At 39.4% G+C, this 25,403-nt stretch overlaps 1 long non-coding RNA gene across 1 annotated transcript; it reads left to right on the top strand.

Annotated features, from left to right (window-relative positions):
- LOC124900668 (uncharacterized) lies at positions 1–25,033 on the top strand. Its single transcript, XR_007058050.1, has 2 exons — positions 1–21,060; positions 21,366–25,033. It is a non-coding gene; the product is annotated as an uncharacterized LOC124900668 (long non-coding RNA).
- The last annotated feature ends 370 nt before the right edge of the window (positions 25,034–25,403 follow it).

The raw sequence follows: 25,403 nt of genomic DNA, 5'->3' as shown, positions 1-25,403 counted from the left end.
CAAAAATCAATTGACTGTAAGAGTGGAAGTATATCACTTACCTTATTCCCACTCTTAGGGGAAAAGCTTTACATTGATTGGATTTTGAATGTTAAATCAACCTTACATTTCTTAAATGAACCTTGATTGCACTCTTGATCATGCTGTGTTGTCCTTCTAATATATGATTTTTGAATTGCTTATTTTATTTAAAAATAATTTTTCTATGTTTATGTGGGGTGAGAATTAGGAGAAGTCTAAGCATGAATAAGGATTGAACTGTTGAGTAGTGTCTTGACCAGATACTTTCAGTAACTGAATGAAGGTTGTTTTATGGCTTAATATAACTGGAGGACTACAATAATAAAATAAAGTTATGTTTCCTGACAACTTTTCATCTTCTTCTCCTGAATACATTTGAGAAAGGCAATAAAAGGTGAAAATGTAATGTTTTTAAAAAATCTTATCCAATGAGTTGTGCTTATCTAATTGACTGGCTACATTTTGAAAATGCTCTTTAATTACTAACAGCTATTTCATAGATTTCCTATCCAATTCTCAGATCAGATAAATTCTGTTTCAAATCATCTATAGATCAGCACAAATTTGAAGCCTGTTGCACTTAGGAAGTTAAACATTTTACAATCTATTTGCCAAGGTTGTCCCATGACTCAAGCCTGGATATTGAGGAACCTGGGTGTCAAGGAATCACTTTCTCTGCTTCAAGATCTTTGGTCAGAGATCTTGAGAAGGCTTATTATATTGGTTTGGTGGGAGGTTCACCTAAATGTCTTGGAAGTTTCCTTTTGATGTTGAAATATTTTATTCCGCAAAGGCAGGGATGGGAAATGGGAGCAGGAACTAAAGAGCCCACTAATGATGATGGACAGGTAGGCACGAAGGCTAAACTAGAAGCTATTTTTGGTGACTTCTGTTGCACAAACTGCCTCTCTTAGCTATTTCTTGGGTAAATCTCTCCAGTTCCACTTGGAAAGGCAAACAGCATTAAAACTAAAGAAAGTTCCATAGCTGACTCTATGGGCATTAGAATTATCACCCAACAAAATTGCTATCTGCAGCCAAAGGACACCTTGTCATAATGTCGGAGCAAGTGTGGCCAAAGCCATCTTGGGGAAAAAGAGAAGTCTGTCTAGACAGATCGGAACAGCTGGTGTGCCTAATTAAACAGTCCCTCTTCACACAGCCAGTGCTGTGTGAACAGTTTGCTTGTTTATTAATTACTTGTGGAACACACCTTTAAAGAAGTGCTATGCACTTTATCCGCTTCCATGGATTCATGGAAACCGGGGGCCCAAAAGGGCTGTAGAAATCAAATAATCCAGTCCTGTAAGTTTCCAGAAGAAAAACTGAAGATAAAAGAGATAAAATAACAAGGCTGAGCCATGAATTCGTGGCAACAACAGCACTGGAATCCAGGTTTCTGACATTTGGTCCAGAGCTCTTTCCACCATGCCAGTCTACTTGCTATGTAGACGGACGTTGTCACGTGACCACTCCTGGAGATGCTTCTGTGCAGGCTCTTTATTGCAATTTATTCCCCCTACTGGACTATCTTATTTATTAACATTCTCTCATTCTCCAATTGTCAGACTAGATTAATTCTGTCAGTATTAACTATAGATCAACACAAATTTAAAGACTGTTGCACTTAACAAGTCAAAGATTTTATAATCTATTTGCCAAGGTTGTCACATGACTCAACCCTGGATGCTGATGAATCTGGTTTATGCCTTTGGGCTGTTGCTCTGCCTGTCTGCTTTTAACAGTTAAACGCACCTGAATGGCATAACACAACCTAGGCTTAGATTCCACTAGAAGCAAACCCCGAGATGAGGATTTGGATGCAAATAGTTTATTTTAGAGGTGATTGTGGGAAAAAATGTGTCTTAATTCATTTGTGCTACTATAACAAAATACCTGAGGCTAGGTATTTTATGAACAATACAAATTTATTTCTTAAATTTCTGGAGGCCAAGTTTGAGATCAAGGTGCTGGCATATTTGGCATCTGGTGAGGGCCCTCTTTCTCTGTCCTCACATGGAGAAATGCAGAAGAGCAAAGAGGGCCTATGCTAGTTCTCCCCAGCCCTTTTGTAGGGCATTAATTCATTCATGAAGGTCCTCATGATTTAATCACTTCCTAAAGACATCTTAATAGCACCTCTTAATATCCCCAAAATGGGGATTAAATTTCAACATGAATTTTGGAGGGAACTTATTTAAATCATAGCAACTGGCTTGGGAGTGGGAAAGAGACAGGAAAGACAAGGAAACGAAGAAAAGGTATGCAGTTGAAAAGGTGACTGCTATGGGCAACCAAGGTTCAATCCCTTTGGGAAACTCTAGAAAGACATGTTGACTACACTATAGAATTGCCCATTAGAAGAGTGAGAAAATCAGGGTACTTTTTCTCAACTCCCACCTGCCATTGGTGAGAGCTACTTTCAGGGGACATTAACACTGTCTTCCTGTCTGCCGTGCTAGGGCCAAACTCTCAGGCAGTCTTCAGAGTTTGTAGTAGGTCTCTATGGATGTGTCCTGGAACAGGATAGGGTTGAGGTACAGAGAGCATCTGCTATAGCGTTTCTATCAATCAGTCCTTCCCATCTTGCCATAAACTAGACTGTCTGAATGCTTTCACCAATGATATCTAATTGACGATAGAGTAGTAAGGAAAATAATAGGTTTTTTTTAAGGTGGCAGGAGTTGTGATGAAGGATTTGGGTAAACAGAATGCTGCCTGGAGAATAGCAGGAGCACATGGTTTGAGATGAGTTTGCAAGGCTGTGCTCTGGAGATTTCACCTGTTGATAGTTCTTCCCACATCTTAATGAATTATAGCCAGCAGTGGGCAGTCAGCAGCCTCCCTTCTAGCCTCCTCTCTACTTCTCCCACTCCCAATTTTACACAAAAATGGGTGACTCAGGAAGTAACAGACACCAGAAAACTTAGTTTAATTTAAATTATTTCAATCTAATTTAATTCCAGCCAACCATTTCCATTCTATTTCATGTGATTTAATTCGATAAAATTAAAAATTTATTGATTATCTTTTATGTGCTCAATAAATGTGCCTTCTATGACTTTTCTTGGAGTAAATCACCTTGAGATAGATTTGTGTTTTAAGACTGGGTCATCTTGGGTCTCTCAACTGATTTCAATCTTCAAATATGTTCCCAGTCTGTTCGTCAATCAGGATTGCTTAGGGGAAAGCAAATTGGACTTGAAATCAACTTTAGTCCTGAGGCACTGCTCAGTACCTATTTAGTAAGTTCGTCATTGGGTAAGTCAGTCTGCATTGCTGAGCCCTTTTTTTTTTTTCTTCTGAAAAATGGATAGTCCCTTCTACTACATATGCCTCTCTGTATCCTGTGAAGGATAAATAAAATAATACATAAGAAAACATTTTTTGTAGCCTATAAAGCCCTCATACTTATTCTAAAAACATTTACTTAGTGTCTACCATACACCAGTCACTTGTATATGGTATATTGCATATGGTGTATGTGACAGTTGCTGAATATATGGTGATACACTGATCTTCACCATCATGGGGATTACAGTCTAGAGATATTAATTGTTATTGCTATGTTTACAACGCAATAGGGAAGGCACAAAATTCTGTAACTTATTATGTCTGTTTTTATGGAGTTTAAAATCTAGGAAAGTAGAGGGAAAATTAATGAAGAATAACAAGGCTGTATACAGGGTTCTAGTATAGTGCTGAGGCACATAGAGAAAGAATTATGTGAATGTTGGTAGGACTTCAATAAAATAAACTAGTAAAAATCCTATGTAGAATAGCAGACACTGTTGGAACTCCACTCAGGTCTCCTTGGTTCCCTATTACTGGCTCTCCATTCCTTTCTCTCGGCTTCCGTGCTGTTTTCCTTCTAAAGCCAGCACCTGTGTCTCTTCTTTGGAGGCCTAGCCTTGGCTCTACCCACACTTGTGGAGAGCTGCAAGTACCTTGGAGTTTACATCCCTGGGGCAGCCCTTAGTCAATGACTGATTAGTATGGGTGTAATTTGGAGGGATAATTTACACTTAACAGCTCCCCAGTGGGATTAAGCTGAAGTTACCCTCTCTTATACTTTGCCTGAAATCACACCCTTGCTTGATTTCTCCTGTCGGTCATGCTCCTCACTCTTCCCTGGTTTCTCTTGGGCATAGTTTCTTAATAAATTGATTTCCCACAAGTTCTTGTCTTAGATTCTGCATCTGAGAAATGCCATCTAAGACATACAGGATTTTAGGTGGAATTAACAGCTTGGGGCAAACTGTGAGTTTGGGAAAATGGAAGCAGTGATTGGGGAACAGCAATTTTTATGGTTTATGGCTTGTGGGTAGAAGTTATAAATTTAACATTGAAACCTGTCAAATTAATTCATTCGAGAAACATTTATTGGGCAACTCTCATGCGCCAAGCACTGGTTTTAGTCTTTGAGACATGTGAGTGGGGAAAAAAATAAAATAAAATTCCTGCCCTGATGGAGCTTCTATTCTAATTGGAAGAAAACAAGACAACGAACAAATAGAGTGTGTTTTATATGCAATGTGTTAAAAGATAAGGGCAGCATGGGTAATATGGAGAATCACTGGTTTTATAGAACTTTGGGGAAAATTTTGCCAATGAGTCGTGGTAAGTTGTGATCTTGGCTTTTCAATTGTTCTTTATCAATGATTTTATTTCAATAGCTAGACTTTTGAGGTATGACTTATGATGTGGTTTGGCTGTGTCCCCACCCAAATCTCATCTTGAATTGTAGCTCCCATAATCCCCACATGTCATGGGAGGAACCTGGTGGGAGTTAATTGAATCATGGGGGTGGGTTTCTCCTGTACTGTTCTTGTGATAGTGAATAAGTCTCACAAGCTCTGATGGTTTTATAAAGGCAGTTCCCCTGAACACACTCTCTTGCCTGCCACCATGTAAGATGTGCCTTTGCTCCTCTTTCACTTTCTGCCATGATTGTGAAGCCTTGGCCTCCCCAGCGATGTGGAACTATGAGTCCATTAAACCTCTTTTTCTTTACAAATTACCCAGTCTCGGGTATTTCTTCATAGCAGTATGAAAATGGACTAATACACCTTAGCAATGACTTATGGAGAAACTATCTTAAAATTGGGAGCAAGATTATTGTCTTATTTATGTGTTGTTGTACAACAAATAATCCCCACATTTAGCAGCTTCAAAGAACAGTTATCATTTCATGGTTTCTGTGGATGAGTAAATTTGGATGAGGATTAGCTGCATTCTCTGGCTCAAGGTCTCTCATGGGCTGCAGTCCCATGGCTGGGGCTGGGGTTGGGGCTGGGCCTGCACCTGCAGTCTTCTGATTGAATTGTTTGAGTTGGGGAGAACCTGCCTCCAAGTTCACTCACTTACTGCCTGTTGGTAGTCCTCACTGGCTGTTGGCCGGAGAAATCAGTTTCTTGTCCTGCGGCTCTAGCCATAGAAGCAACTCACAAAATGGCAGCTTATATCTTCCAAAGTGAGTGTTCCAGAAAGAAAGAAGGGAAAGCAAGGGAAGGGGAGGGGAGGTGAGGGAAGGGCAGGGGAGGGAAGGGAAACAGGAAGGAAGTTACAGTTTTTTGTACGTAATTTATGAATGACATCCTATAACATTTGCTTTATGCTATTCAGTACAGGCAAATAACTAGGTACGGCCACTCACAAAGGATTACCCAAAAAGGTGAATGCCAGGAGGCAGACATCCCTGGGGTCCATATTATAGGCCACGTACCACAACGATACTTTGTTTATATTTGGAGCATTAGAACATTCACTGGCTCCTTGCTTTCTGAGAAATGGTTACATCATGTCAGGGGATCTCCAACATATCACTTGGTGGAAACTTGACACAGAAGATGCAAGGCAAATTATCACAATTCAAATTATCTATCTTATAATATGATAACATGAAATTCCAGAAAATCTATTTTATTCTCCAAATATTTATTATACAGATACACCTTTGCATGTGTTAAGATTGAAAAGTTGAATGGTTAATATAGAAGTTTAAAAATTATAGTACGTTACCTTGGGGAATTCTTCAGTGTGGACTGAAGTTGGTGCTACTTCTGAAAAATCAGAGAATAACAAAGTTTAGACTAAAAGTGGGTGCATTATTTCTTAATGAATATTGCTGTTCTTTGGGATCTTATGCCCCAATGTTTTGACGAGGTCAGTGTTTCAATGAGGCCACCTTCCGTGCCACCTCTGGATTGTTCGTTTTGATAACAAACTTGGTGTGAGCTTTAGCCTCATGATTGGCATTTGTTCCAGCTATTAGGTTTCTTAAAAAGGTGGATTTGGGTCATTTCTATGAAATTCTTATTTATAATGAAAATTATTGTAAAAGCTAAGGATTTGAAAATAAAGCATTGAGAATCAATGGTTTCTGAACCCCCACAATCTTGCTTTGAGACATATAAAAGCTTAATAATAAACATCACATTTTCCTGAGCTTCATACACTGGGTTGAGTTCCAAATTTTGGCTTGTCATTGGTAGGGGCCCTCACAATGATCGTGTGTCACAGCTTGTTCCTCTAGAACACTTGGCTTATTGCTATTATCACAGTACACTGCAAGTACTAATTTAAACATGTCCTTCCCAGGGAAGCCCTCATAGGTTTCCCACAGATGAAGTCAGTCCTCGTTAATTTCTATGTCCCCTTAGTTCCTAGTAGAGTGTCTGTATTGCAATAGCTCAACAAATACATTTAATGAAATATGAAACAAACAGACATGTCAAAAAGAGACCCAGGAGATCACTAGGTAGGTGTGCTTGGTTACCACACAGAATTCATCTGGTAGGGAAAAAGGGAACAGGGAGAAGTCCCAGGAAGAAAAAACAAAATGGGATTTATGTCTCAGTATCCCCCTGCCTTCTCTTTCCCGTTGATCATAGTTCATCCCAAAGGGTAGCTAACTCTTTCTCTCTCTTCCATGTTGAATCATCTGGACTGTTGGTGGCTGATCAGATCTCATGTCCCCATTGTAGAATTTTATCAGTCTCCAGAAGTGGAGGCATAATTGGCCCATCAGGAGCTCTGCCTAAGAGAGAGGAAGAAGGGGGTGATGGAAGAAATCTGAGAAAGTGTAAGCAGTGTATATTTCATGAAACATTTCTTTTCCCTAAAATCTTATTTAGCCACAGCGTAAGTGGGATTTTCTCTCAACCTTTCCCCAGGACCTTTTCCCATGTGCCCACTGGTCTCTTTGGATCCCTCTCTGTTCCTGCCATTCAGGAGCCTAGTACCATTCCATTACCTGTCTCATGAATAGCAATTACCCGCTTCTCTGAGGTTTGCGGATTTGGAAACTTCTTTGCTGTACAGGGTCTCCCCGTCCCAGATGGGTGATTAGGGTCTTTTTCCTAAATAAACCTTTTGTCTTTAAGAAAATTAAAAAAAAGTTGACCATTAAGAAAATATAGTTATCCCTACCTCATCACCCAAATGACCTGTCCTGGGCTGGTTACTTTTACTTTGTAAATTTCACTCTCTTCCCCACATATCCACAGATAGAAATAACTTTAAACTGTGGGGCCGCTTTCAGGCACAGATTTTGGAAGTAGGAATTGAGGCTGGGAGTTACTTTTCAATCTAACCTTCTTCTTAATGAACACACATTTGGAACTGGTGGCCAGTTGAGAGGTTGTGTAAACGAATGTGGAACATCAGGGTAGGCAAGGAAAACATGGCAACATGAAGCAGAAAGGCAGGGAACATTTCTAAAGGCAGAATGTAAATCAAGGGCTTCTTTTTTTCCTGTGAGAAGAGGCCACCCTGATGGACAGAGTGCCTACACCAGTCGTGATGTTGTGAGAAATAACAATGGAGGCTGCAGGATGTCATAAGACAAACACCATCTCAAACTGGGGGAAGGCTGCCTCCAAGCCTGTCCTTACACCCTGCCCTCTCCTGCTGCCTGGCCCCTTACTGTCCTCTTCCTTTCTCCCTAAACTTGCCCCTTGCTGGTTTCTTCACATGATCTGCATTGAGCCTGGATGGCCCCCAAACACCTGTTTGAACAATAAACACGAATGACTGTGGTGGTCCTGTCAGCCCTCGCTCTTTGTAAAATAACTGCTGATCTACAGCCCTGACTGGAATTGATTTCCCAGACTATTCTATGTCTTTTCATTGACAGGCATTGAAATCTGCCTAACACTCTCCTCCTCCTCATGATTGTAAGATCTTAAGTAGCCAAGAGTTGTGAGGAACACATCTCAACATTGCCCCTGGAGTCAGTTACAAATCAAACACTGTGCTTACAAACCCTTACATTTTGAAAAGAACACTTTGCAGTGATTAAATATTTATGCGTGGCACACACTTGTAACCTTGATGATTTATTTAGACTTTATAACTTGTAGTAAAATATAAATTCTTTCCCAGCATGACACATACACACACGCATATATGCATATACATATACATATATAATATATTTATATATAATCTCTTTCCCCTGCATATGGGACATCCAGCATACTGGATGAAAAAAATGCATCTGTTTTCTTGTGTGTGTGTGTTTTTTTTCTTTTAGTGGTCTCCATAAATCTAGGGGAGCTCCTTCTTGGACTACTAGCCTCTTTCAATAGAAGCATGTTTTCACTGGGATTTCCACATTCATAATTATTCCTCTCATTTCTCTGCCGTGAGAAGACAAGCTGGTATTTCATTGCTTTGGGGAAGTTAATAATATGGTAGGCAAAACATCAGGAAAAATTATAATGAATGAAGCTATACAAATCGGAGGGAAACACATGTCGCTGTTCTGAAACGTTCCTGTCGTAAATCCTGGAAATTTCACTATAGTCACAAGCAAATAACTCCTTAATGCATAAACACTCAATTAATTAAATGTAATATGCCATATAAGCTTGAATGAGTTCTAAATAGAAAAATGGTCAAATAATAGTACTGGAGACCACTGACTAATAGGTGTTCATCTCAGCCATCCAAAATTTCTCAACTGGTCTCAGACTAAAATGAGCCCCATCCATGGCCCCCTTTAAAAGAACTATATGTTCTATATATAAAAGTAATATTAACTCCTTATTTAGTAATAGTGATTGAGCCTCACACTCAGACTTTTAAAAAAATCTTGTCTTAAATTTCTATCTCTTGGGATGTCTCTAGAGCAGTTGTTTGAAGAGCTCTGTTTTCTCCATTATTTCCAATTTATGGAAGCCTGGGTTTTATTATCCTCCTGCCCCTCTTAAGTTTCTTGAACCATTTTTATATGGTGTTTAAGGGGACACATCTCACCTGACTGATATTTTGTAATCCCTAAATAGCTACTCCTCAAATATGACTCTGAAAATACTTCTAATAGATGTGCAAATATTTTGAGAAGTGAAAAGCCTTTTCCAACACGAGGTTGGGTCAAAGGGCCAATTTGAGTTCTTATATGTGTAGGTTTTTATATCACCCCATGCCTTTCTCTGTTGCTGTACTCACTGTATTTTATTGAAAGTAACTGAAATTGTATCTTTTCCACTTGGGGGATCTTAGTGGCTAACACTAAGATTTTTAGCCTGAAGCACAATGGTGTTCAATATTTGTTTCCTGCATATGCTCACTCAGTCACTCAGTCACTCAGCAAACCTCTATTGAACACCTATTCCATGCCTGGTACTGGGCCAGACATTGGAAAGCTACAATAAACCAGACATGAAAGGATCCTTTGGAGCTTAGGGTTCACTATGTTTTTATATGTTTAGGCAAACTGAAATGAAATAATTTTATAAAAGGAAAGGACCTTGGAGATTTGCTCTTCAACTCTTTAATTGTAAAACAGAGATACTTAAACCTGAGTAAGAATAGGTCTTATTTTTCATTTCAGAGCTGACTAAACCTAGAATTCAGTTATTTTTCAATGTTTTTTTTCCCCAAGCTATGTGGCCTCTACTTGCTATCTTTTGATAGTAACAAAACAATGTAACTGTCTTGGAACAGATGGAAGAAAAAGGAAATGAAATCAGTCCTCATTAATTTCTGTGTCCCCTTAGTTCCTAGTAGACTGTCTGCTCTTTTAGGAAGAGTTGTTGAGCCACTTTTCTTTTTGTAGAAACTGGAAAAATCAGACTCATTTTTACAGAGGCATTGACTAAACCTTAAATTTTTTAATTTTTAAAATTAACTATAGAAGTGATAGCTCTTCATATTATGCTTAATGCATAATGTGGTATAGAATTTGGGAAAGTATAAAGTATTTTTTGTGAGACAGAGAGAAAGGAGGATTTGTATGATGTAGTTTTGTTGCATTTACAAGCCCCCTGCCACATCTCAAATGTCATAGGACAATCATTTATTTCCTATGGCATCTTTGTTGGCATCTGTGGGTTAGCTGCCATTCAGAAACCAGGATGAAGAAACAATTCTTATCAGGGACCTGCTTTTTTTTGTGGGGAAAAAAAGTGTAAAAGAGAGTCTGTAGAAATATATGCAGTGGTTTTTAAATATTCTTAAACATAATAAGTATCAAGTCAATTTGCAAGTGACATGGCCGAAGCCAACATCAATGGGGTTGGGGAAATCTACTCTTCCACAGGAGACACTGTATCATGGTTTCAGGTGGCGATGCCTAATTCACCCACAAGAATGGACAGAAACTTCGATTGTTAGGACAACAAGAAGAATATTATATTGTTAGGAAGAACAATAAAATCTACCCCACAAAGGCAGTATTTGTGAGCTGGAGTGATGTGACTTTTCACTTGCCCTTTCCCTGCCCTGAATAGCCTCAGCCCCTCTTCTAGCTGGTAAACTCCTACTCACCTTTAGGACAAATATGGACATCTGAGGAAAAAGCATTAGTCTCTCATTCCTTGGTGTGCTTGGGTCCTGACATCTCTTGTGAAATTTATCATAATATATTGTCCGGAGGAGCTCTGTTTTGTTCTCTTTCCCAAGAGCTTGGCACTGTCTCAAATATCGTATGTGGTCTCCTGTATTAGGCCATTTCTGCATTGCTGTAAGAAAATACCTGGCACTGGGTAATATATAAAATAAAAGGCTTGGTTGGCTCACAGTTCTGCAGGCTGTACAGGAAACATAACGCCAGCATCTGCTTTTGAGGAGACCTCAGGAAACTTACAGTCACGGTGGAAGGCAAAGCGGGGACAGGAGCAAGAGAGAGAAGGCTGGTGGGTGAGGGGACACACACACAGTTTTAAATGACCAGATCTCATGGGAACTCACTATCAGGAAGAGAGCACCAAGCCATGAGGGTCTGCCCCCATGATCCAAACAACCTCCTACCAGGACCTACGTCCAGCACTGGGAATTATAATTCAACATGAGATTTAGGTGGGGACAAATATCCAAACTGTATCAGCTCCCTAGAAATTCTCTTTCTCTCTCTCTTGTTTCTTTGTTTAACTTTTAAGTTTAGATGTACAAGTGCAGGTTTGTCACATAGGTAAACGTGTGTGGTGGGCATTTGTTGTACAGATTATTTCATCACCCAGGTAATTAGCTTAGTATCTATTCATCATTTTTCCTGATCTTCTCCTTCCTCTCACACTCCATCTTCTGAAAGGCCCCAGTGCATGTTGTTCCCCTTTATGTGTCCATGTGTTCTCATCATTTAGCTTCTCCTTATAAGTGAGAACATGCGATATTTGGTTTTCTGTTCTTGCATGAGTTTGTTGAGGATAATGGCCTCCAGCTCCATCCATGTCCCTCCAAAGAAATGTCCTCGTTCTTTTCTATGGCTGCATAGTACTCCATGGTGTATATGTTCCACATTTTCTTTATCCAGTCTATCATTGATGAGCATTTAGGATGATTCCATGTCTTTGCTATTGTGATTAGTGCTGCAATAAACATTTGTTTGCATGTGTCTTCATAAGAGAATGATTTATATTCCTTTGGGTATATACCTAGTGATGGGATTACTGAGATAAATGTTATTTCTGTCTTTAGGTGTTTGAGGAATTGCCACACTGTCTTCCACAATGGCTGAACTAATTTACATTCCTTCTAACAGTGGATAAGCCTTCCTTTTTCTCCACAACCTAACCAGCATCTGTTATTTTTTTATTTTTTTTAATAATAGTAATGCTGACTGGTATTAGATGGTATCTTGTGGTTTCGATTTGCATTTCTCTTATGATCAGTGAGGTTGAGCTTTTTTTCATGTAATTGTTGGCTGCATGTATGTCTTCTTTTGAAAAGTGTCTCTTTATGTCCTTTGACCACCTTTTTATGGGGTCGTTTGCTTTTTTCTTGTAAATTTGTTTAAGTAGAGTATAGCTGGAACATTTGTAATTAGGAAATGGCTTTAAAGTAACCATATTGTGGTTTAGGGGATAGAAACAATGAGTACAGGTGATTTTAGAAACAAAGACTCGTATTTTATAGTTCTCTGTGCTAGAAAAGTTTCCTTTGTGACTGTCTTTTTCTAATTCCTCTAAGAACATAAGCACTAGAGAAGGAGAATTTTTTTTTCTTCAGATGTATTTCCACGGTGTCAAGCTAATAACCAAATAACCTGAAGTACTCAAAGAAAAATCACCCCCAAAGTACTTATCATGCAACCTTGTACATAATAGGTCCTTCATAGATTTTTAAAACTAATTTGCATCTGATAAAGAAAAAGAGAGAAGCCAGGATTTTAGTAGTAAATTTAGTGGTAGGAACTGAAACACTTTTTGGCAGGAGGAGGTAAGAAATTATAGGCATTTCTGAGGCCACTTTTTCCTAAAAAATGAGAAAGAAGGAAAAGAAGGAGAAGGAGAAAGAAAGAACGTATTGCATGGAAAAGGTCTGAAAGTTTACTAATGAACAGATCACTGATATGTATTGTAGATATCAAGCATGTTAGGAGCACCTGAGTGACTGAATTTGAAAACATGGATTTTCAGGGATCCATCTTCCTGATTTTCTAACATCTAGGGAGTTACTCCAGGGTTCTTCAGCAAGCACAATGCTACAAGTTCGGTCTATTATTGGCCCCATGCTCTGTTTACTGAATTCTTCATCTCAACTCCTGCTGAAATTCCTTCTAGACCAACTTCTATGGGCAAATATTTTTCCTCATGTCATAAGTGCTTTGAAGTTTAAAGGGATGCTGTCTTAGGAGGAAGAAAGCAAGCAAACAAGAAAAAGTAAAGAGGTGAAGAGATGGGAAGGAGAGAGCTTACTAGGTGAGAGAAGAAGGAAAGAGGGATACATAATGATGAAGATGCCGATTTTGAATTCAGTGAATGAAGTTCTAAATCGTGATATATGTGTGTATCTACTGTGTATGGAGGGGAGAGGAGAGGGAGAGAGAGAGACAAAGGTATGGGGAGAGACTGTGAAGTGACAGAACACAACCAGCTCTCCTGGAAATTTACCCTTTCCCAGGTGTTAGGACAATGAAAGAAACAAAATTTCCATTTATCAAAAGACTTTCTGCATTCCAAGTAATTTCCTAGATGTTTTGTATCAATTATCTTATTGAATTTCTATTTTCGGATGTAAGTATTACAATTCCCTCCTAGAGGTGAAGAAACTGTGGCTCAGGAAGTTTGAATGACCAGATTGGGAGGGTAGTGAATGAGCCCATAATATTTTTCCCATTGCCTTGGGGCTTAAACTCAATTAAATAATGGCCTAATTAAATAGACATGATATACATTATTTAAATAAGTGTATAGACCAGAAAAGCAGGGAAGAGACCCAAAGAGTATGATATTTTCTGCTGTCTGGATTCAGATCTACTCGACACTCTTCCCCTAATTGACTTCGCACCACAGAGAGTGACCTTTGCAACCTGCAAGGCCAGGCAACCTTTATCAATTGGCCAATGGGAGGCCCTTTCAGGAAGCTGAACAACAGGGAAAGGGACAATGCCAAGGTCTTTCTGCCTGCCTCTTTTTGCTTCAAGAAGCATCTCTGGCCATAGTCACAGCTTCCCCTGTTGTTCCAACTCCTGCTGGGCAGCCCCTCACTTCAGAGTAGCTGTAGGTCCTGAGCTCTGGTCATGCCACCACCATTTGATGCTCTTTCCACAGAAGGGATAGTGGCTTTCTGCTGTTGCTAACCTCTGGGTGGTCTCACCATCTCCTGTTTGCTCTTTTAGCCCTCCCAGTGCTGTAACTAGTTCCCATATTAAATTACCTCTAGTGTACTCTCTGGCACGGCTTCCATTTTCTGACTGAACCCAGAATGATACACCATCGGAATGAGATGTCCTAATAGAAGACACCAGACAAGATGGGGGCAGATCAGAAAGGCCTTTGTAGTAAAGGTGACTAGAAACTATCCTTTGAGAGACCAGCATTGACCACACAAAGCAAAAAAGGGCATTCTAAAGAAAACTAATAGTAAGTGTATTTTGCCTTTCCTTTAGTGCTCATTGGGTAGAATTGCTTAGATAGGAATGCTGGATCCAGGCAGTGAATGTACATGCATATGATATATGTCCAATTATAGTTTGTATGTATTCTAGGTACAGTGAGAAAGCCAAAATATCAGGGAAGCAGGGAAAGGTGAACTCAAGAGACAAGAAAAGAATGTGTCTAATTGGAGCAAAGAGAACAGCCAGAAACAGGCACATGAATTTAAAAAAGGCTTTTGAAGACCAGAGCCAATACTATTCTGTTTGTATTGCTCTATTATTTCTTTTAGAGGGTTCACGCATCTACTGTCATACATAACATGTTTGTTCCTTTATTTAGCCAACATTTGCTGAGCCCCGGTGCTATGTCAGGATCTGTGCTAGGCATGGGGCACCCAGAGACAAAGGAGACTCAGCCCTGCCTTTTAGTGCTTGGAGCCTAGTGGGAGAGATAGAAAAATGAAGTGGAAAATGAGAAGCAGCACATCACGATGCCGTATCATGAACATGCTGGCAAAAGGGGTAGACCTGGAGCTTCCTGGGCAGTTTTAAGAAGCATGCAGATGGAATTGGCAAGACTTGGTGATCAGTCTGGAGTTAATGAATAAGAAAGAATTAGAATTGACATTTCAGAGTTTCAGGGTTTGCCATGTGTCGGAAGATAGTGGCATGTGGCAATCCTGTGATAGCTATTGGATCATTGAGCAACTGAGGCAAGGCTAGAATTCAAAACAAGAGACAAAGCATTGACCACTAGTCTTTTTAGAAAACTTCATTTTTTGTCTTGTTTTCATCTTATAGATTATTTGGAGTGGGAAAGGGATGGAGACTCAAGACTATTGGCTCTTGAAAAAAAATACATATTCTATTTGTAAAGGGCAAGAGCTTTAGTGCCTTATCTAGTTTGTGTTAAAGTCCAGTTCACCCACTTAATTATTATGTGGCCTCAAGTAAATTGCTTCTCAGCTCCAACTACCTGGCCTCTGAAGGGCAGTATCACTGGGGCAGATGACAGCTCTCCAAATGCTGATGTTTGGATCGCAGAGATGTTGGAATGGAAAAGGCCTAGTCACCTATCTGGCACATAGAAGAAGCTCCCAAAATATTGATTTCCATTTCACACACTCTTTGTTCTTAAAATCTCTGATATAAGGTTCAGTATCTTAAAATGTCAAATGCATAATTATCTTTGCTTTCTTGAAGATGCATAACTATTCTTCTCATAAATAGGCTGATTAGGGAGAATTTCAATGAAATTTTTTTTTATTATAAATGAAAAAAAAACAAAGGCCTTAGGGTATGTTCCAGATAACTAGGCATAACAAGAAATTTTAAAGACTAAAATTAATGTTAAAAAATGCTCAATAGGTCCCTTAAATATTTGGAGTTATTTTCAGGTATTTGAGGTTCTTCCATGTATGGAATACACACTGTTTTTGTAATGCTGGTAATTTAGTGACAGATGCTGTTTGAGGTTCAATGTAATGGAGTATGTAAAAATGAGGAAGCAATTAAGGAATTTTTAGTTCCCTCTGAGGCTTGCAAAAATTGCTTAAATATAGCTATCCAAAGCAACATACATTTTTTATCAAAGCCAAATTTGAATGTTATTTAATGCTCAACCTTTGGCCAGGAATAGATGTCAAGTTTTTCTTTTTATTGTTATTTTTAATTTAAACAAATGTTGCCTTGGATTGCTTTCCCTTTAGCAGAATGTTTGTGAGTCTCAAAGGAAACTCCTAGAATGCTTTTTTTCTTGGTTTAACATTTACAAAGCATACTGGATCTCTGGCTGAAGGGAATGGTGCAAATACCAAATGCACGGCATAGCAAATGACTTGGTCATTTCCCACTTTCTTTCCCTTCATGTTTCTGCCATTAGGAATCCCACCCACCTTTTAAAGCCCAGCTCAGAAGCTTTGTAGTGGAAAGAGCCTAGACTTTGCTGCCAGAGAAAAAAAAAATTGTAACAGTGATATTCTTGGGCTCCAAACTCAGGCAAGTACTCCATTCAAATCCCTTGGACTGGTTGCTTAAACTTGCAAGACTCGCTCTTCCCTCCCATTGAATGGAAGTCCTAGTACTACACAGCGTTGCTGAGAGGAGACCACAGGTTACAGTCAGCTGTTGTTACACTGCCCAACATCCATGGCACTTTCTTCTGGTAACAGCAGTCCAAATGCACTTTGGATATTCTGATAGTGAGACGTTGATCAGTGGTCATGTGATCAAGGAAAGGTCAATCAGAGGCTCTTTCCCTGGAATTTGAGCCTTGCGGGAGGAGCACCAAGATGCAGAGCACGTGGAGCTCATCACTATTGGTGCATGTAGCCTCCAGTCACTAGTACTCACTGCCTGGGTTTTCAGAAACTGCCTTGGGTCTTGCTCTTTGAAAACTGGTTCTTCAGTTTTCTCTTCAACGTGGTGAGCTGCTCCTTGTATTCCTGGTAATTTTTTTTCCTAAATTATGCATAATTGATTTCTGTTGCTTATAATGAAAGAACTGCCAATAGACATTAGAAATATTAGACCCTTCATCATTTTCTTACCAACACAAACTCTATGTGTTCTTCTCCAAAGTCAGAGGTCTGTTTCCTTCCCCAAGGTCAGATAGCATTGTTTATACCACTGTGTGATGGTTAATATTAGGTGTCAACTTGATTGGATTGAAGGATGCCTAGATAGCTGGTAAAATATCATTTCTGGGTGTGTCTGTGATGGTGTTGACAGAGGAGATTGAAATTTGAGTCAGTGGACTGGGAGAGGAAGACTTACCCTCAGTGTGGGTGAGCACCATTCAATTGGCTGCCAGCACGGCTGAAACAAAGCAGGTGGAAGATGGCAGAAGAAGCTTGATTGCTGAGTCTTCTGGCTTTCATCTTCCTTCCGTGCTGCATGCTTCCTGCCCTTGGACATCGGACTCCAGGTTCTTTGGCCTTTGGACTCTTGAACTTACACTGGTGGTTTGCCGGGGGCCGTCGGGCCTCTGGAAATAGACTGACACTGTCAGCTTCCCTACTTTTGAGGCTTTTGGACTTAAACTGAGCCATTACTGGCTTCCTACCTTCTCACTTCGCGGATGGCCTATCATGGGACTTCACCTTGTGATTGTGTGAGTCAATTCTCCTTAATAAACTACCTTTCATATATACATATATCCTATTGGTTCTGTCCCTCTGGAGAACACTGACTAATACAAACTGTTAATGATTTATAGCCCTTTATGCCTTGTAGGGTCATTCACCTGTGACCCTGGTTCATCCAAAGACCCTATTCCTTGTGGGGAGGGAGTCATGCACCCCCTCAAGACTCTGTGCCTGGTGGAACCTTTGTCTTACTGACTTGCTCATCCATACAGGTGTGGGCCTTTCAGGAGACCATGCTTCTTTAAGGACTGTTTCTCAAACAGAATGGCATCCAAGCCCAATGTCTTTGGGAAATTTTGCATTCTGCTGACACTCAGGCTGATAAATCTTATGATAAAGGCAAATCAAATCAAAACAAATTGAAACACTTTGAAATCAGGATTTTCTAAATCATTTTGACAGTAGACACTAACCTCTACATTTAGTATTTGTTGGCACAGGGGTATGATTGAGGAGTAGGGAGAGTAGGTTGACTGAGAACACATAGCTACAGCAATGGCATTTTGTGGCCTTTTGGAAACTAGGATTTTCTAAACCAGTGTTTTGGATCACCCCAGTTTTCTCAGTAGCAGCCAGTTTGATTCATTACCATTTCATTCAAGTACTACTCAACAAATATTTATTGAGGATAACTTTATTCAACAACTATTTTGTACTAGGCCTGCACTTCGGTCCTGGGATGCAAGGAATTATAAAATGCAGTTTCTACTCTCTAGGGGCTTACACAGGGGTAAGCCTGAGACACAGGTGTGATCGCCACCAAGTCAGGCAAGGCTGCGACGCAGCAGACATGGGGTGATGTGGGGGCACAGGAGAAGGGCTGTTCCACTTGGGTAGCCATGGTTAGGAGAAGGTGTTCTGAATGACACTGCACCTGAGCTCATTCTTGAGGGATGAATAGGAGTTATTTGTCTTTAGTAATAATATCGTCAGAGTTTGGCTAACATTACAAAGTGTTTACACTGAGAGAGGCCCTTTATGTGTGTTTTTAAATTTAATCCTAGGCCAGGCATGGTGGCTCATGCCTGTAATCCCAGCACTTTGGGAGGCCGAGGTGGGTGAATCACCTGAGGTTAGGAGTTCAAGACCAGCCTGGCCAACATGGAAAAACCCCATCTCTACTAAAAATACAAAAATTAGTCGGGCATGGTGGCACATGCCTGTGGTCCCAGCTACTTGGGAGACTGAGGCAGGAGAATCGCTTGAGCCTGGAAGGCGGAGGATGTAGTGAGCCGAGATCGCCCCACTGCACACCAGCCTGGGAGACAAGGTGAGACTCCATCTCAAAAAAAATAAATAAACAAAATTAAAAAAATAAAAATAAATTAATCCTCACAGTGACCTCACAATAGGTACTGTTAGTATTCTCATGTCACTCATGTGGAAACTGAGGTACAAGGTGAAATTCATGTCTGAGTTGCATTCCCCCAGGCCCAAGAAAAAGTTAAATATTTTTCCTTTCATAGCACTTCATACTCACCATTTCTATGGATCGCCTAAGGTCAGGAGTTTGAGACCAGCCTGGCCAACATGGCAAAACCCCGTCTCTACTAAAAATACAAAAATTAGCCAGGCATGGTGATGGATGCCTCTAATCCCAGCTACTCAGGAGGCTGAAACGGGAGAATCGCTTGAACCAGGAGGCAGAGGTTGCAGTGAGCCGAGATCATGCCACTGCACTCCAGCCTGGGCGATAAGAGTGAAACTCCGTCTCAAAATAAATAAATAAGTAAATAAAATATCTTACTTTTAATAAATCTGAAGGCTTATATTGTAGTAACTGTGGGTTTTTTTTTTCTAATTAGATTGCTTAATCAGGGACACTGAGATTTAGAAAAGCTAATTGACTTCCTTGATAAAATGTTGGTATATTGTGATTTGGAAGAACCTCTCTTACTTGCTGATATTTATGTTATACAGTCTCTTACCTGACACATACTCTAGCAAACTGTAAAGAAAGAACAAGCAGCTGAGGGTGTGCTGTAGCAGCTGAGCTTTAGCCTAGAAAAAGTTGGAAACAGAGTACAAATTTCCCATGTTGGCTCCCTTTGATGTTATAGTGCATTTGACCTCAAGAAGCTCAACTCTTAAGTTATGTAACTTAAAAAAAAAACATATTCACATATTCTCTGTTCCTCTCCAATGTCTTAGGTTTCTAACATTTATAATGTATTACAGTCTTGGATTGTAATTACCAAGATAAATGATGAACATATTTTTTAAAAAATATATTCCCTGGCTGAGCAACCTGACAGGCTGCTTTGGTCTATTTCCATGTGTCCTCAATGAGGTGCGCTGGCAGGAACCTCTGATGAAACTTTCATCTCTCTTGATCCTGATCATGATTTTCTGCAAAATGTCTCTACAAATTCCATATGGGGTTTTCACATTTTCCATATCTTCCTGGGGCCAAAGCAGTACAAGTCTAAAACCTGGATCAGCATTTTCTCCCTGAGATGTTGGTACTGCCATCATTATGGGATACATTACCTTCTCTTTATCCTCAATTTCTACCTTACCAGTGATCACTTCTGCACATACAGATACATACACATATACGCATCCCCAGAATGGCAGTGTACCTGGAAAGTCACAAAGGAAGGCAAGTTTAATGTCTAGATTCCTGGACTAGTAGTAATACGTACTTGAACGTCAGGTAATGTTTACCCATTCTACCCCTGAGCGACCCGAAAAAACACTTTACCTATAAATATTTCACGTGACAAAGACTGGTGTTAAAATAGAATACTCGTGCCCTTTTCTCAAGTTCCTCCATGGACCCTTTCCTAGGCCTTAGGGAGCACAATCTATAGGAAAGGACCCAAGAATCCCCAACTCAGTCCTTACATGGCTGCCTAAAGTGCCCTGTGACCTGAGACACATCACTTAATCCTTCTGTTTTATCAGTTTCTTCAACTTTAAAGGAGCCCTTGTTCTACCTTTTCATAAGTTGTAGCATTAAAATGCAAATTCCCGGCCTGGCGTGGTGGCTCACCCCTGTAATCCCAGCACTTTGGGAGGCTGAGGCAGGTGGATCACCTGAGGTCAGGAGTTCGAGACCAGCCTGACCAACATGGAAAAACCCCCTCTCTACTAAAAATACAAAAATTAGCCATGCATGGTGGCATGCACCTATAGTGCCAGCTACTTGGGAGGCTGAGGCAGGAGAATTGCTTGAACCAGGGAGGCGGAGGTTGCAGTGAGCCAGGATGGCACCATCGCACTCCAGCCTGGGCAACAAGAGTGAAACTCTGTCTAAAAAAAAAAAAAAAAAAAAAAGTGCAAATTCTCTTGGGAAATGTTACATACTATACTTTAAAAATCACACTTTACTATGAGCAAGTAATCATTTAAGTTTAAGAGGTCTTGCTTGTCAAAAAGTGAAATTCTCATCTTCTTTTAATTGTCTTCTATCAACAGATTGGGAAAAAAGAATTCATTTTAAATGGTGCAGCAAAAACAGCTGTTTTATATGTGTATCAACCTTCATTTATGAAAAAGCAGATAAGCCTAAAAATGCCAAGTAAATAATAAAATAGAGAAACATGTTGGTTTAACCTCCTCCTTAAGGTAACTGTATTACCCTTGCCTCCATCCTTTTTGATTTGTTTAGTGTTTACATAGTCAGTGTGCATAGATTCTAAATGTGTTCTTGACTTTACATAGTATATGGGAAAGTGGCCTGGGTGGGTTATGTGTTTTCTTATTGAGTGCCTGGATTAATTGGCTAGCCTGAATGCCTAGGAAAATGCCTGCTTCATTAAGATGGTGACATGCCTCATTGCAAAGCATTGTAGACCAGTCGAATGGCATATAAATGCAACATTTTGTCCCATGGGCTAGACTTCTAATGCAATTGTCTGCTTTTTGCCCAGAGTCATCGAACTAGAGTCTACATTGATGTTCCTCCAAGAACAATTTCCTTTTGGAACAACTTCTTTTTAACAGCAGTTTAAATAATAATGTTTGCTATTGGTTACATTTCATCTTCCCAAAACTCACCAGTCGAAGTGCATCTCCCCATTCCTCAGAATGTGACATCATTTAGAATAGGATCTTTGCAGAAGTAATCAAATTAAAAAGAGGTCATTAGGGTGGGCCATAATCCAACATGACTATTGTCCTTATAAAAAGAGAAAATTTGGACACAGAGAAACACATGAAGGGAAGACAACACAAAGACAAATCGGGAGAAGATGGCCATCTACAAGCCAAGAAGGGAGTCCAGAAACAGATGTTTCTGTCCCAGCCTTCAGAAGGAATCAACCCTGTGGACACGTTGACTTTGGACCTCTAGCCTCTAGAACTGTGAGATGATAAATTTCTGTTGTATAAGTCATCCAGTTTGTGGTACTTCGTTACAGCAGCCATAGCAAACTAATACAGTATAAATAGCAATATAACTAATATTGATGGTCAGTTCTAGCTAATGTGTATTGAGTGACCACTACATTTCAGGTCCACTACATACATCATTGTCGCTGTGTTACCTAGTCAATGAAAGTTTCCATCAGAGTGTGGCTATAGAGGTAAATTCCGGGTAATAAAAAGATGCTACCTTTTTGGATGATGGGGAGGAAAAAAAACATTCATAGCAGAGGGAATGGTAAATTCAGAGGCTTTGAAGGGGTATTAACAGAAAGGTCAGTGTGGTTTGATTAAACTAATTGAGGAGGAGAAGAATACCTGTTGTCTAGGTTAGAGATAAACTTTTTCAAAATCAGGTAGGGCCCACTCAGGTATTCTAAAATATACATGGCTCAGCTTACTGATATCAGCTTACATATGGAAGACCTCTTTCTAGAGTCTTTTCATATCAACACATTTCTACAAAGCATTGGGTTTAAATTTGGAGAAAGACATTCACTTAAAGAGAAGCCCTTTACATCCAATACCTTAAGCACTTTTTTTCTCAAGCCCTGTGACAAATTAGGGGGAAGTCAAGAAAAGGATCCAGAGGAATGGGATGATTATTCTTTCAAATGAGAAAATCAAGGCCCAGATAATTTAGACACACTGTAAAGAGAGACTGAGCCAGCCCTGGAGCCCATAAGTCCTCAAATCCATGTGACCGTCTTTCTTGCTTTTATAGATAAGAACAACACTAAGGATTTAGCAGAAAGTGACCTGCATCAAAAATGTCCAGCTATTGAACTCCTATTTATTCTTCAAGGCCCCAGCACTACACTACTTCATCCAGGAAAGCTTCCTGTTTTTCTACTAAATCCAGTATCTCCCTCCTCCAAAATCTACCTCTCTAGGACACCACTTTATACCTTTCTATGTGCATGTTTTATTTCTCTCATAAGACAGTAAACTTCACTCGTGTAATATTCTTCCATAGGGCACAACTGCCTTATATAGCCAATGAATTAATTAGTATGGAAGGATTGAATAAAAACATTAAACAGACCAGCAATTTCTCTTCTCCTTTTTGGGTCCATTTCCGTACCCAAGAGGAAAGAAAACATATATCTGCACACAGATTTGAGTGTTCATAGCAATTTTATTTATAATAGCCCTTAAACTAGGAGCAGTGCAATGCCCATTGACTGGTAAGTAGACAGACAAATGTGTTATTGCCATGTAATGGAATAAAAAGGAATGAACTACTGATGCACATTATATTATGGATGAAACTCAAAAACATTATGTTAAATGAAAGAAGCCAGACATGAGAAACTACATATTATGTGATTCCATTTATATAAAATGTCTCCAAAAGGAAAATTTATAGAGACATAAAGTAGACTAGTTTTTGCCTGGGGCTAGGGCTGGGTTGGGGATTATTGTAGTTGGGTGTGAAAGATCTTATTGGGGATGAAAATGTCCTAAAGCTGATTTATGATAATGGCTGCACCACTTAATAAATTAACTAAAAAATTATTAAATTGTACATATGAATTGGGTGGATTTTATTGTATGTAAAATACGCCTCAATATACCTGTTAAAAAAAGAATAAAAATAGTATTCAAGTAGATTGAGAGATAGGATGAAGGTGAAGATGGAAGAGAACATAACTGTCCTCCCTCCCCAAATCATATAAAGATCCCAACACAATACCCCAATATACTACAGTTTAAAAATTACAGAACAGTCTTGTATTTCATATACTATCAGTATCTGAAATCAGTTTTATAAATGTGAGTCTATTTTGTCTGTTGTGGGATAATACTCATATTTCCTCCTCTTAATATAAAAAATAACGACTTGACATGCCACCTCCATGTGATCTATGGTCTTCTCCCAGGGTAATTTTTTTTAACTTGAAAGTAAAATCAATGAGTCCTGATAGCACTTAAAAGAAGAGATTAATTCTACCAATAAGAAGGCCCACTGGAGAAGATGGCATTGGAGCTGGCATCCTTGCTCTGAATTTATTCATTAAATGCTTTTATGATGATGACTGTATGTGGTATGCCTTTTCTAGAAATAACTCATTAAGGCTTTAGCATAATGGATGGTGAGGTAGTTTAGGTAGTTTTGCAAAAGAAAACATAATTAGTCAAGCAATCTCATCTTTCAACCTGAATGACAGGACCATTTCCTAAAAAACAAGGCCATTCAAATAGCATTCAGTGCACTCTTTTTTAGTAGAAAGAAAACTTGATCTTTCCACTCTAGTGCACTTCGACAATCAAAGTCAGAATTCTCTTAGATTCCAAGAATTGCCCCCTGATCTACAAACTTTCTATCATGGTAGCTTTTGAGCTATTTCAAAAAGGAAATGCTTTCAGCCAACTGCAAAAAATAAACAAACAAACCCAAACTGTTCACTACTATCAGTTAGAAGAACTTATTATTCTTGAGAGTATCAGCAGTACTCTGTGCTGTGGTTTACCAGCTGACTTCCCCGTAATATTGAAGTAATGCTTCAAGCAAGTTTCTGAGTCTCTGGCACACTTTGCCCCAGCCACGTTTGCTTTCAATGTTGAGAAAGAGTCCAGTGATCAACAGCATTTTCTGATTTTGTCTTTTTTCTGCAGTGTTTATGACATCATAACACCAACTATTTCAAAAATAGTTTAAAAATCTTTTTTATAATCTGAAATTTAATTGTTGCATATATATTTCTACTTATTGAATGGGCTGGGAATTGTGGCATATGGATTATGAGACAACCAGAATGGAACCGCTTGTTAAAGCAAAGTAAATATGGCCTGAGCAGGACTCTGTACTTCTATATTTGAGTACTTGTGAATGAATTGTAACCCAACTTAATAGGAAGACAGGGTTGAAAACCTAACTTAGGAGTGTGTGCCTGTAACAATAGCTGAGTCTTGGCCAATCCCAGAAGCCATACTTCAGCCACTCATACACTGCTAAGTGTTCAAGCTGTGTTCAATAAGGCAAATGCCAACCTGTAACCAATCCAGCTGTTTCTGTACCTCACTTCTGATTTCTGTACGCCACTTCCCTTTTTTGTCTATAAATTTGTTCTGACTATGGGGCATCCCTGGAGTCTCTCTGAGTCTGCTGTGATTCAGGGGGCTGCCCGGTTCATGAATCGCTCATTGCTCAATTAAACTTGTTTAAATTTAATTCAGCTGACGTTTTTCTTTTAACACTATAGTAATAACATTATACATTGTGGAAGGCAAGAGCTGTTTTTAAAGCTGAGTTTTGGATATCTAAACCTAACTCTTTCATTTCAGAAGAAAACTTGAGGCCTGGAGAAGCTGACTGCTCCCTAAGGTCATACACATCATATTAGCAGCAAAGCCAGCACTGGTGTGAAATTCTCTAGACTTTCAGTTCAGTGCTTTTTCTGCCACACCAGGCATCCTGCACCTCTACTCCTTCTTCTTAGCAGTCTTCCCTCAGTAGACACGTCAATACCTTCTAATAAAATTTGTATCCATTCGCCCATTGATTTCTCCATATATTTATTCAATAAAGATGTCTTCAATGA

Source organism: Homo sapiens, chromosome 4, assembly GCF_000001405.40.
Source record: "Homo sapiens chromosome 4, GRCh38.p14 Primary Assembly".
Taxonomy (NCBI): Eukaryota; Metazoa; Chordata; class Mammalia; order Primates; family Hominidae; genus Homo; species Homo sapiens.
This window is presented reverse-complemented; position numbering and strand designations above follow the sequence as displayed.